The 13,579-nt window shown below is 39.2% G+C and overlaps 2 protein-coding genes and 1 long non-coding RNA gene across 9 annotated transcripts in view; 2 read left to right on the plus strand and 1 right to left on the minus strand.

Annotated features, from left to right (window-relative positions):
• Nucleotides 1-13,579, plus strand: part of ZNF571-AS1 (ZNF571 antisense RNA 1) — a 38,400-nt gene that overhangs the window by 5,519 nt on the left and 19,302 nt on the right. For 2 of the 4 annotated variants that reach the window (NR_038247.1, NR_038249.1), the window contains exon 2: nucleotides 11,564-11,622. The exons of 1 other annotated variant lie outside the window; for it this stretch is intronic. This is a non-coding gene — a long non-coding RNA (ZNF571 antisense RNA 1). Of the gene's footprint in view, nucleotides 1-11,563; nucleotides 11,623-13,150; nucleotides 13,284-13,579 lie in introns of all 4 variants that reach the window. One more of the 4 variants, NR_038248.1, reaches the window with a different exon arrangement.
• Nucleotides 1-13,579, plus strand: part of ZNF540 (zinc finger protein 540) — a 62,806-nt gene that overhangs the window by 3,094 nt on the left and 46,133 nt on the right. The gene's annotated exons all lie outside the window — the stretch shown is intronic.
• Nucleotides 9,793-13,579, minus strand: part of ZNF571 (zinc finger protein 571) — a 30,533-nt gene continuing 26,746 nt past the window's right edge. For all 4 annotated transcript variants that reach the window (XM_017026858.2, NM_016536.5, NM_001290314.2 and 1 more), the window contains one exon: nucleotides 9,793-11,824. In XM_017026858.2, the coding sequence (XP_016882347.1) occupies nucleotides 10,131-11,824 (1,694 nt within the window). In that variant the 3' untranslated portion in view covers nucleotides 9,793-10,130. The remainder of the gene's footprint in view (nucleotides 11,825-13,579) is intronic.

Below are 13,579 nucleotides of genomic sequence, written 5' to 3' on the forward strand. Positions count from 1 at the left end.
ATCTTGTTACTTTTGTCCCCATGTATGTATCTTTTTTCCATCAGGCTGTTCTCAAGATTTTCCTTTACCACTAGTTTTCAGCAATTTGTCTTGTGTTTAGCTTTGAGTTCCTTGAGCTTCTTAGATCTGTGGCTGATAGGTTCCAAAAAATTTGGAGTATTTTCAACCATTATTTTTAAATATTTTTTCTGCCTTCTCCCCGCTTCTCAGACTCACATTTACATATATCTTTATATTTTCCCACAGATCACCAAGACTCTTTTACAGTGTTTTTCCCTTGTTGTACCTGAGTTAGAGAAAACGCCACACTTTGAGACGAATTAAGAGTCCATTTATTAGCTGGCGACCGAGAGACGGCTAACGCTCAAAATTCTCTCGGCCCGAAGAAGGGGCTAGATTTTCTTTTATACTTTGGTTTAGAAAGGGGAGGGGAGGGTCTAGTTAAAACAATTTTACAGAAATAAAGTAGGCAAAAAGTTAAAAGGATAAATGGTTACAGGAAATTAAACAGTTCCAGGTGCAGGGGCTTTAAGACTATTACAAGGTGATAGACCGGGGGCTTTGGGCGTTATCAATCAGATGAATTCCTGGGAATTGCAGATATAGCTTGCCACAGTATCTTATCAGTTAATTGCATTCTTGGATGTGCTGGGAGTCAGCTTGCACAAGTTAAGTCCTTGAGGAAGCGGCTGCCAGTGAAAGAGCCAAGATGGAGTCTGTCTGGCTCTCTTAGCTAAGGGAGAGTCAATTCAGGTGGAAACAAGGCTGGGTAATTAAAGGAAAAGGGAGAGTCTAAAAACAGGGTTAGTAAAAACAAGGTTGGGCATTACATTCCCCACTTGTGTTTTTGGGGAATCAAATCGTTGATTCCTCAATTATAACAAGGGGGTTATATTGAGTATTAAGATACATAAGTTTGACAGAAGCTATGCATTCTTTTACAAAATTAAGAAACCAATTTTATATACAAGGCCCAAAAATTAAACTTAATAGTATGATGAGGAGAGGTCCAGCTAACCCAGTGATTAAAGTAGTTAGCCAGGGGTTCCAGTTGAACATGCTTTGATACCAGGGGATGTTGTTTTCTCGTTCCTGTTGGCGCCTATCTAGATTTTCTCGAACTTTTGGAGTGTATCTTTTATGACTAAGAATGGTGGAGGAACAGTTAAATCAACTTTGTTAGGGGGTTTCTGGAACATAGGGTCACCTAGATCAGTTAAAGGCCCGATTGGCTTGGGTGGGCTCCATGAGACCAGGATTTTTTGGATGGTGAACATAGTCCCAACATCAAATCCTGGGATATAAAATCTTAATTCCCATGACATGCCATAATACTACTGAGTTGAATTAGGGTCATGGACAGTTATAGTAAGAGGATTACAATTTTTTCTAGTACATAATTTAGGACGAGAAGCACGAGTTATGGAATGAAGATCTGGTTGATCCCCCAGAGTAGGTGGCTAAAGTTACACATGTCCAATCAGGGCAGAAAAACTGGTAAGTATCTCGACAGCTAGTGTCAGGGTGATTCCCAGGACAGAGGTAAAAGTCAACATTTTGGAGTCCTTTTTCTGCACCTTTGGAGCTTCCACATCCAGTTTGGCTCCTGGAGTGTCCAAATCCTGCTGCAAGGTTGACACTTCCTGCTTTTGGGACCGGCAGATTGTGTTGCTCTTCGCGGGTACGGGCTGGCTCTGGGAACAGTACACATAAATCAACTGCAAAGGAGACTTCCTTGGAGGTACTGGCCCTCCAAGTGGTGTTTGCAAATACACATCCTGTTGTGAAAGAGGTGAGGAGAAAGGAGTAGGAAGGCGCAAAGGACATAACAGGCAAAAACAAACAAGTGAGGTAGATAAAAAGAATTAATCTAATGGCTTCACCTGACTTAGGTGCAGTTTTAAAGGGGCCTGACCCAGGCCTGGGGACCCATGTTTCTAGTTGGGCTCTGTTGGCCTTTTTGATGCGGGAGTGATGAATCTAAGCAGGAATGCCGTCCACCTTCAGAGCCATTGGCGTTGTGAGGATGATGGTGTGAGGTCTTTTCTAAGCAGGAGTGAGTGCTTCTTTCTGGAACTTTTTAACAAACACTAGGTCTCCTGGCTGGAACGAATGGCAGGACCCTGTCTGGTCAGGAATTGGATTCGGATGGGTTCCTTGAACAAGTGGCAGGATGATATCTTGTACCTGTTGGGGAGACTGTAGGTACTGTAATAAATTCTTTTGTGATATTTCTGCCAATTGGGCATCTCTTAGCTTAGGCAAGATAGGCGGCGCCCTCCCATACATGATTTCAAAAGGTGAGAACCTAGCCTAGTAAGGGGTGCACCTTACTCTAAGTAGGGCTAAAGGAAGGAGACTTACCCAATTTACACAAGTTTCTAAGATTAATTTTGTAAGAGTGTTTTTTAGGGTGTGGTTCATGCGTTCTACCTGCCCAGAGCTCTGGGCTCGATAGGCACAATGGAGCTTCTATTGAATGTTTAACGCCTTACTGACCGACAGAACTATAGACGAGGTGAAGGCCGGTCCATTATCAGACCCTATGGCAGCAGGCAGCCCATATCGAGGGATGATTTCATTGAGTAAAAACTTAACTACCAAGTTGGCGGTTTCGTTTTTGGTAGCAAATGCCTCAGTCCATCCAGAGAAGGTGTCTACTAGTACTAGAAGGTATTTGTACCCAGCCTGGTGTGGTTTTACTTTTGTAAAGTCAATTTCCCACTTCTCTCCTGGCAAGTTTCTTCGGAGACGGTGGCCTGGGCTGGGTTTAGGACCTTGTTTGGCATTTACCTGGTCGCAGGTTGTTCCCCAGAGAGCTGCTTGATCTGTTAGGCTTTGAAGACGGGGGATTCTTGTTTTTGATAGCCTTTTCTGCTGAGGTGAGTAGCCTGCGCTCCTGGCAGATGGCTCCATGTACATGCACCGTAGCAAAGGCGTACCTGCTGTCAGTGTTAACGTTAATATCCTTACCCCATCGGAGAGCCTGAGTGAGGGCGATCAATTCAGCTTTTTGCGCTGAGGTGTTTGCTGGTAAAGCCTGAGCCCACAACACATCTGTCTCCGTGGTAACAGCTGCACCGGCCTTTCGTACTCCCTGCTCGAGAAAGCTGCTACCGTCTGTGAACACGGTGGCGTCCGCCTTCTCTAGGGGCACATCTTGAAGATCGGATGGGCCAGTTTCGGTAGTTTCCAACAGTTCCTGACAGTCATGGATAGTAGCTGGATTTAAACACCGTGTGGAAGAGAAAGTCAGTTTACTGATCTAACAGTAAACTCTGATATTGCAAGATGCGAGCATTTGACATCCATTCGCCAGAAGCACTTTGAAGTAAAGTCTCTATGGCATGAGGAGCCTTAAGGGTTAAATTTTGGCCCAGAGTTAACTTATCAGCCTCTTGGACTAGGCTTGCTGTAGCGGCTACTGCTTGGCTCGCAGACAACTTGGCCATCCAGAGGTCTCAGGATCCAGTTTCTTAGATAAATAGGCTACTGGGCGTCTCCAGGGTCCTAAGGTCTGAGTAAGCACCCCTTTAGCAACTCCCTGGCTTTCATGGACAAACAGGTGAAACGGCTTTGAGATATTAGGGAGGGCTAAAGCAGGGGCTTCAGTTAATGCCTTTTTCAGGTTTCAAAAAGCCTGTTCTTGTGTGTCTGTCCAAATTAACGGGCCATTTCATTCTGTACCTCTTGGATAGCCGCCACTAAGATTTTTGTTTGTCATTTGAATGCTTTATCAGCAGCCTTTTCAGCTGCCTGTGTTGCTCGTTTTTGTTTTTCAAACTCTTGGTTGTCAAAAACCTTTTGGGCTATTTCTAAAAGCTGACTGATATTCATTCCAGCAAATCCCTCCAGTTTTTGGAGTTTTCTTTTAATATCTGGGGCTGCCTGAGCCACAAATGCCAAATTAAGAGCATGGCTATTTTCGGGGGCCGCTGGGTCAAAAGGGGTGTAAATCTGATAAGCCTCCTGGAGGTGCTCTAAAAACGGTCCTGGTGACTCATCATGCCCCTGGATGACTTCATTCGCCTTAGACAAGTTTATGGGTTTCCGAGCAGCTCCCTTAATACCTGCGAGGAGATACCGGTGGAAATCATCCAAAGCTCTCCCTCCACTTGAGGAATTTGGGTCCCAATTAGGCCGGGTAGAGAGAAAGACCTCTGTGCACATTTCTGAAAATCTTTTCTGTATATCTCCTTCCTCTCTGGAACTCTGTCCTGCACCAGCCAGCATGTCTCTGTTATCTTCTTAACACAGTAAGAACTTCATGTTGTTTGGGATCAGCTTTCTCATTATCCAGAATGTGTCTCCAAGTAGAAAGTTTGTGTGACTATTGCACAACTTCACTATATATATATATATGGAGAGAGAGACAGAGAGAGAGAGAGAGACAGAGAGAGAGTGTTTCACTCTGTCACCCAGGCTGTAATGCAGTGGCATGATCACAGCTCACTGCAATCTTGACCTCCCTAAATTCAGGTGATCCTCCCACCTGTCTCCCAAGTAGTTGAGAATACAGGCATGCACCACCACACCTGGCTAACTTTTGTATTGTTTATAGAAATGGGTTTTCACTAACTTGCCAAGGCTGGTCTCAAACTCCTGCGCTCCAGTGATTGCCTTGGCCTCCCAATATGCGAGGAATACAGGCATGAGCCACCACACCTGGCCCACATGATTCTCTTCTGTCAGGGATCACAGTCATACAAACCAATTATTCCATCATGGCTCCAACAGAAGCTCATGTTTTTTGACACTGGTGATGTCACTGGAAAGAAACACTCTCACACATTATTGGTGAGAATGTAAATTGACATTTTCAAAAGTAATTGGGCATGATCTATTAAAATTTAAAATGCACAAATACTTTTGACTTGGCAGTATAATCAGTTGTAATATATTCTATATAAATAAAATCCAAGAATAAACATATAAAGATATTTATTGCACTAGTTTGCAGAAATAGAAAACTCAACCTGAATACTCAGCTTATGGGGAATGGATAGAGTATATCATGGCATTGCTGTTACTAGGTTGCTACATGTAATTCTGCAGGCATTTTGAAAAAGAAAAGCAAGGTGCACAAGACAAATACCAACAAAATATAATGTACAGACCTTATTTAAATCTGGACTCAAACCAACTATTATTGTGAAAGGTTGACTTATCTGTTCAAGATACATACTGAAAATATTTAGGGGGAAAAGGTATATAGCATGCTGGTTGTCTTTAATATATCCCAGTGAAAACTTATTGGGAGAGAAAACAAGAAAGGCAAAAATAGGGTGATTATTAAAGAGGTTATGGGTACACTGTACTATTTTATTTTTGCCCATGTTTAAAATTTTCTAAAGTTAAAACAAATTAAAGTGACAGATATATTTGCAGTTATCCTATTATAGTATACTGTCACCAGACTGAAATGACACCCACACTTGAGCACAGAAGAAAACATCAAAAAATAAACACGAAAGTTTTAACAGCAGATGAGTGCAATACAATGAAGGTGGTTTTTAAAAATTTTTTTAGCTGGGCGTGGTGGCTCACACCTGTAATCCCAGCACTTTGGGAGGCCAAGGCGAGTGGATCACTTGAGGCCAGGAGTTTGAGACCAGCCTGGCCAACATGGCAAAACCTCATCTCTACCAAAAAATATAAAAATTAGCTGGGCATGGTGGCAGGCGCCTGTAATACCAGCTACTCAGGAGGCTGAGGCAGGAGAATTGCTTAAACCCGGGAGGCAGAGATTGCAGTGAGCTGAGATTGCGCCACTGCACTCCAGCCTGGGTGACAGAATGAGGCTCTGTCTCAAAACGAAAAAAATAAAAATATAAATAAAAATAAATTTTACACTATTTCCTTGGTATAGGATAAACTTCGTATGTAACTTTGTAAGATAAATGTAATGATTTTTTTTTTTTTTAGGATAGAGACTTGCTCTGTTGCCCAGGCTGGAGTGCAGTGACACGACTTGGCTCACTGCAACCTCTGCCTCCTGGGTTCAAGCAATTCTCCTGCCTCAGCCTCCCGAGTAGCTGAGATTACAGGCATGTGCCACCACACCTGGCTAATTTTGTATTTTTAGTGGAGACGGGGTTCCACCATATCGGCCAGGCTGGTCTTGAATTCCTGACCTCATGATCCACCAGCCTCAGCCTCCCAAAGTGCTGGGATTACAGGCGTGAATGTAATGATTTTTAAAAAGAAAAACATGGATGTAAAGAAAGTAAAGCTTCGTTTTGAACAGTTATGATGGTAACAAAACTCAAAGGAGCAACTAAAGCAGTGCTGCAACCACTTTTGTCTGTCTTAGTAATTCTGATTAGTGTACATTCCTCCCCCACCAACCATTTTGAGAGAAATTTGTCTGAAAACATGATTTATGAAATAAACATAAGTGCTGAAAGAGTTAACAGTTATTAAGTTTCTTCTTTTAAACAATCTTGTAACAACAGAAAAAGCCTTGGTCAGGTATGGCTCATGTCTGTAATCGCAGTACTTTAGGAGGCCAAGGCAGGAGGATCACTTGAAGCCCGGGATTTGAGACCAGCCTGGGCAACAAAATAAGACCCTGTCTCTACAAAAAAAAAAAAAAAAAAAAAAAAAAGAAAGAAAAAATTTAAATTATCCAGGTGTGGTGGTGCACACCTATAGTCCCAGCTACTTGGAAGGTTGAAGCAGGAGGATCACTTGAGCCCAGGAGTTTGATGCTGCAATGAGCCATGCCACTGCACTCCAGCCTGGGTGACAGAGAGCCCACCTCTAAACAAAAAAAGACAAAACCCTTATAAAATTGATCTAGACAATGATGGAGTGTAGAGGATTGTAAAAACCTTGGCTACAGAAATTGTTCCTCTCTAGTGTAGTCCATGACTGAAGAACAGAAAAGCACTATATCATCCATCAAATTTAAATAACTGACATAATGCTTAAAATTTCCCCTTACCATCATTCTTTATGGTTAAAAAGAAATTCTGCAAGTGTGTTCACAAGCCAAAGATATTAATAAGCATACAGAAGAGAAAGGATTAATGGTCAGGACTGGGAAACAATGGGTTAAACAAAAGATAGTATTTTCTTTACTGCAGGTCTTCTCAACCTTTTAATTTGGTTTGTTCAGAGTGGAATTCACAATGCCAGTAAGGAAATTTGGTTATGCACTGTATCATATGCAATGAGGTAGAACCCGCTCTACGTATTTTGGGAATTATTTCTTGAACATATTTTTGAAAAGTCTGGCTCAAGATATTGTCTGCAAATGGCAGTTAATATGCAAGTATGTTTGATGGTAGAAGGGCACCTAACAGTCTACTGACATTTAACTTTTCCTTTAAATTTATAATTTTGCAATTATGTTAATCTCTCAATTGTTAATGACTGAATAATGAAGGCATAACTTATCCAATCTGAACAAAATGTACTTTAGAGACGAAGAATGCATGAGTGTTGTGGCATCATGGTGGTTACACTGATTATTCAGAGTTCTAATGATTCTCAGTTACCACTTTTTTTTGGACAATAGTTTGTAAAACAGTGAATTAACATTTAGATTATAATCATACACTATATACAATCAGTGGTTTCCAGAGTGATGACAATTCAGTGGGCTGCAATGTTCATTAAAGATAATGTAGGCCGGGTGCGGTGGCTCATGCCTATAATCCCAGCACTTCAGGAGGCTGAGGCAGACAGATCACCTGAGGTCAGGAGTTTGAGAGCAGCCTGACCAACATGGAGAAACCCTGCCTCTACTAAAAACACAAAATTAGCCAGGCATGGTGGCACGCACCTGTAATCCCAGCTACGTGGGAGGCTGAGGCTGGGGAATTACTTGAACCCAGGGGTGGAGGTTGCAATGAGCCAAGATCACACCACTGCACTCCAGCCTGAGCAACAAGAGCGAAACTCCGTTTTTTTTTTGTTTGAAACCAAAAAAGATAATGTATTAGAAGACAAGAGATAACACTGCATATAGAAAAGGTAAGTATTTCTTGGTAACATTTGTTTTTCTATGAACAGCTTTGTATACAGTAACTCAATTTTGAGGTCTTGAGTTCTGTGCACCAGATGCTTGGAATCATAGAAGAACTGTAGGCATTGATTGATTGCTGCTCCAATATATTATTCTAACTCACCTTCACTCACTGAACACCATTAACCTCTTCTCACCATCATTAATTTCTGACCATCAGCCCTCATTCAACAACATTCTAATTAACAAGTTCAAATTATTTAAAGCTGTTTTTATCTGTCATTTGCGTCCATTATGTACTAATGTATTACATTTATTGTCACTATAGTATCTGTTCCTTAAAGCATAGAAGGAAAGCATAATTCATGTATTATATTTTTCAAAATCACTGCATGCACAAACATATCTGGTAATTAACTGTTAACTGGCTTTTGAGTGTTTTACATTATTCAGAAATCCCTGATAGAGGTCATTTAGGTGGCTTAAATTAAGTTGAATTCAAATTAAATTTGGTTAGGATTTTTTAATGGACTGAAAACATACTGTTTTTCCTATTTAAAATAATGGGGCCAAATAAAAATAATACAAACCAAAAATAAAATAATGGGGCCAGATGTGGTGGCTCACATTTGTAATCCCAGCACTTCTGGAGGCTGAGGCAGGTAGATGCTTGAGCCTAGAAGTTTAAGACCAGATGAGGAAACATAGTGAGACCCCATCTCTAAAAAAATTTTTTTTTAAATGAGCTAGGCATGGTGATGAACAGCTATGGTGACAGCTACTTGGCAGGCTGAGGTTGGAGGATAGCTTGAGCCTAGGAGGTCAAGGCTGCAGTGAGCTGTGATTGTGCCACTGTACTCCAGCCTGAACAAGGAGAGCAAGACCCTGTCTCAAAAAAAAAGAAAAAAAAGACAAAAAGACCAAAAAATGGAATGTAGCCTCCGAGATCTGGGTCTCTAAAAATTTACCATTCAGTATATCAGAAATGGGTTAGATTCAAATGAGGAAAAACTGTAGTTGGTAAATTTTGTTTATATTTCCATTTAAGGCAAATATATATTTTATACACACACACATATACATATGGAATATATATATGGAATACATATGTGGAATATATACATATATGGTATATGGAATATATACATATATGGAATACATATATGCATACATACATGGAATGTATACATATGTGGAATATATACACACGTGGAATGTATACATATGGGGACTATATACACACGTGGAATGTATACATATGTGGAATATATACATGTGGAATACATACACGTGGAATATATACACATGTGGAATATATTCCACATACACACATGTGGAATATATGTATATATTCCACATACACACATGTGGAATATATGTATATATTCCACATACACACATGTGGAATATATGTATATATATGGAACTACCTTGGCCATCATTTTGTTAAGAAATTCTTTTTCCCTTAAAGTAACAATCAGAAAATGTGGGCCAAAAACTTTTGCTTTTGGAATTTGTTGTAGAAAAATAATCTTTCACTTTCTTAAAAAACAAAACAACAAAAAACAACAGCCCTAAAGCAATTTTTGGAAGTTTCTTCCTGGTGTGGATTATCTGATGCTCAGAAGTCCTTCATACCTTTACTATACTTTAAAGGTTTTGTCTAAAATAAAGTATCTGTTGTTCTAAAGGGGCTACATGATAAGAGAATGGTTGCATCTTTTTACTGTAATCATAAAATATTCCCACCATTTGAGTTCTCTAACAGTATGTAATGATGATAATGGCAATCATTTTAACAACAAATATCAGATGCTATCGAAAGGGAATTATATGTATTTAATTATAATTTAGTCATTGTAATACAATTACAGTATTTTACAAATAGAAAAGAACACACAAGAAATATATAGGATTTCAGTTAGGATATGGTGAAATGGAGATGATGCTTAATAAAGGATATAATTCAGCATTATATTCTAGCGTTTATAGAGATGTTAAGGAATTATTTAAGGGGTTTCTGAAATTATTCTGCATCCATGTTAATGTAGGCCTTCTAAGAATGAGCAGATTCTGAGCAGAAGCAAGATGTTCTACATTCATTATAGATATGAAATAGATGAAGATTTTCTTAAATTTAATCACATTCAAGGCTTTCTCAATTATGAAGCCTTGTATGTTGAGTAAGTTGTGAAGGACATCTAAAGTCTTTACCACACTGGACACATGTATAGGGTTTCTCACCAGTATGGATCCTTTGATGCAGAGTAAGTTCTGAGCCACGACTAAAGGCCCTCCCACATTCCTTACATTCATAGGGTTTCTCTCCAGTATGAGTTCTCAGATGTTCAGTAAGGTGTGAGCCACGAATAAAAGCCTTCCCACACTGTTTACATTCATAAGGTTTTTCACCTCTGTGAATTCTCTGATGTTCACTAAGTTGTGAGCCATAAATAAAGGCCTTGTCACATTCCTTACATTTGTAGGGCTTTTCACCTGTATGAATTCTTTGATGATATGTAAGTTGTGTAGCACGTACAAAGGTCTTCCCACATTCCTTACATTCATAATGTTTCTCACCATGAATTTTCTCATGTTGAGTAAGATATGCAACACGAATAAAGGCCTTTCCACATTCCTTACATTCAAAGGGTTTCTCACCTGTATGAATTCTCTGATGTTCACTAAGTTGTTTGCCACAAATAAAGGCCTTTCCACATTCCTTACATTTGTAGGGCTTCTCTCCGGTATGAATTCTTTGATGTTGAATAAGATTAGAATTAGAAATAAAGGCTTTCCCACATTCTTTGCATTTATAAGGTCTCTCACCTGAATGAACTCTCAGGTGGTAAGTAAGTTGTGAGCCACGAAAAAAGGTCTTCCCGCATTCTTTACATTCATAGGGTTTCTCTCCTGTATGAATTCTCTGATGTTCATTCAGTTGGGAGGCACATAAAAAGGCTTTCCCACATTCTTTACATATGTAAGGCTTTTCACCAGTATGAACTCTCTGATGGTATGTAAGGTGTGAACCAAGAATAAAGGCCTTTCCACATTCCTTACACTCATAAGGTTTCTCACCACTATGAATTCTCTGATGGTAAGTAAGTTGAGAGCCAAGAATAAAGGCCTTCCCACAATCCTTACATTCATAGGGTTTTTCACCACTATGAATTCTCTGATGAAGAGTATATTGTGAACAATAACTAAAGGCTTTTCCACATTTCTTACATTCATATGGTTTCTCTCCTGTATGAACTCTCTGATGTTCAGTGAGCTGTGAACCACGAATAAAAGCTTTCCCACATGCGTTACACTGATAAGGTTTTTCATTAGTATGAATTTTCTGATGTTGAATGAGATCAGAAGTACGACCAAAGGCCTTTCCACATTCCATACACTCATAAGGTTTCTCACCAGTCTGAATTCTCTGATGTTGAATATAGCTTGGCTTTTTGCTAAAGGTATTCCTGTGTTTCTTAACTTCAGAGCATTTTTCTATATTATGATTTTCCTCATGTTGAATAAGGCATGACAGGTAGCTGAAACCTTGTCTGCATTCCTTACATTTGTACAATTTTTCCTTGGTAGGAATTATCCGATGAAAAGTAGAAGAGGTTGAATGACTTTCAGTGGCCTTTTCTTCACAGGTAATTTTGACACACATGTAAAGCCCTTCCTGACTTGCTTCTTGACCCTCTAAGTTGCCTTTGCACTCCATATTGTCTCCAAGACCATTGTATTGAAGGTGATGGTTGATACGTTTCCCCATATTCTCCCACTGGAGTGATTCCATTTCATAAATTTCCTTTTCTGGAGATAACTTTTTGGTCACACAACTGGATTCCAAGTCTGTAGAATAAAAAGAAAGCAAATTCCTGCTTTTGTTTACAAGGAGAAATAAAAATTCTATGGTAAAAATGATAGATGAAAATAATTCTCATTAAGAATAGAATGGCTTAAACAGTACAGAAATATTTTCTGCCATTTTTCTTTAAAGGCACAAGGAGAGAATAAAGAAAAAGGAGAGCTTATAGGAAAGAAGGTAATTAGAAAAATAGGTTAAGTCAGTGGTTCTCAAACTTTGGAATGGCTTAGAGACACCCAGGAGGCTTATAAAATAGTAATAAAAACACCCTCTTGAAAACAAACAGATGTGTAGCTGGACATACAATCTATCAACAAATCCTATCAGCTCTCCTGTCAACATTAAGAATCTGACCACCTCTACTACCACCATCCTAGGCCAAGTCACCCCTCTCTCATTGTCATAACCTCTTAGCTGGTTTCTCTGCTTTCATCCTTGCTTCTATGATCTATTCTTCATACAGCAGCCAGAGGAATTCTTTTAAAATGTGGTTTATATAACATGATTTCCCCTGCTAAAAATCTTCCCTATTAATGGTCTGCCATCTCAGGATAAAATCCAAAGTCCTTAATATGGCTCACAAGACCCTACACAAGCTTGCCTGTGGCCACTTTTCTTATGTCATCTCCCACTTTGGCCACTTTTCTGATATCATCACTTACCACTCCCCTAATTATTCATTTGGCTGTGGTCATAATGGCCTCCTTGGTGTTAAAAAAGTGTCAAGCATATGCCTACAGTTTTGTCTTTAGAATGCCCTTCCTCTAGATACCTGCATGGCTTGTTCCCTCATTTCAGTTTTCTGCTCAGCTGTCACATTATCAAAACATCCAACACATAATTGTACCTATATTGCATTTTTCACTAATGGATATACCATTTCTAAAGTTTGACTATTGTCTGTCTGTCCCATGCTTAATCAAAGCAAGGGCTTTGTTTCATATACTGCTTTATCTCTAGTGCCTAACATCATTACTTACACATTGCTGGCATTCAATATTTGTCAACAATTTCTAAAATATATATGTTCCTTCATTCATAAATCTCCTTAGATGCTTCTCATAAAACACAAAGTTTGAGAATAGAGCTAATAATCTTTCAATGGTTTACCCTTGTATTTAGAATAAAATCCAAACTCCTATTCATGGCCTACAAGCCCCTTTACGATCCAGTTCTTTCTTAAATTTCTCCAATTTCTTCAACGTACCTTTTAAGCCTCAAATTGAGCCACTACTATCTTCAGAACAATGCTCTAATCTTATTGGCCTGATTTAAGTTCCAAGAACATGTCAAATTCTTTCCCATTTTAGATTTTCCATATGCTGTTCCATCTGCCAAGAATGCTCTCAAAGTGGCCACCTCCTTTGCGTGTGAAATGTCCTAGCTTAAATGTCAGCTGCTCAGAAAGACTATCCTGGATCACTTTAATTAGGTCCATGCCAGGTATTTTCTATACCTGTAATTTATTCCTAATTCTTGTTTGAATTTTTGCAATTCTAAAATTTCATTTATTTATCTGTTGATCTTTCTGCTCCTCAAGCTCTACATGTGTAGGGGGAAAATGCCTGTTTTATTATATAGCTAGTCCCCAGAACACAGTATACATATAATGTTTTATTCCTTTAATATAGTTTTTCATGTCTTACTTTCCAATATTTATTACTTAAGGCCAAATGTTCTTATATTTCCCAAAGAAGTACCTCAAAATCTCCTAGAAATAGTGACAAGTTTACACAATA

Source organism: Homo sapiens, chromosome 19 (genome assembly GCF_000001405.40).
Source record: "Homo sapiens chromosome 19, GRCh38.p14 Primary Assembly".
Classification (NCBI taxonomy): Eukaryota; Metazoa; Chordata; class Mammalia; order Primates; family Hominidae; genus Homo; species Homo sapiens.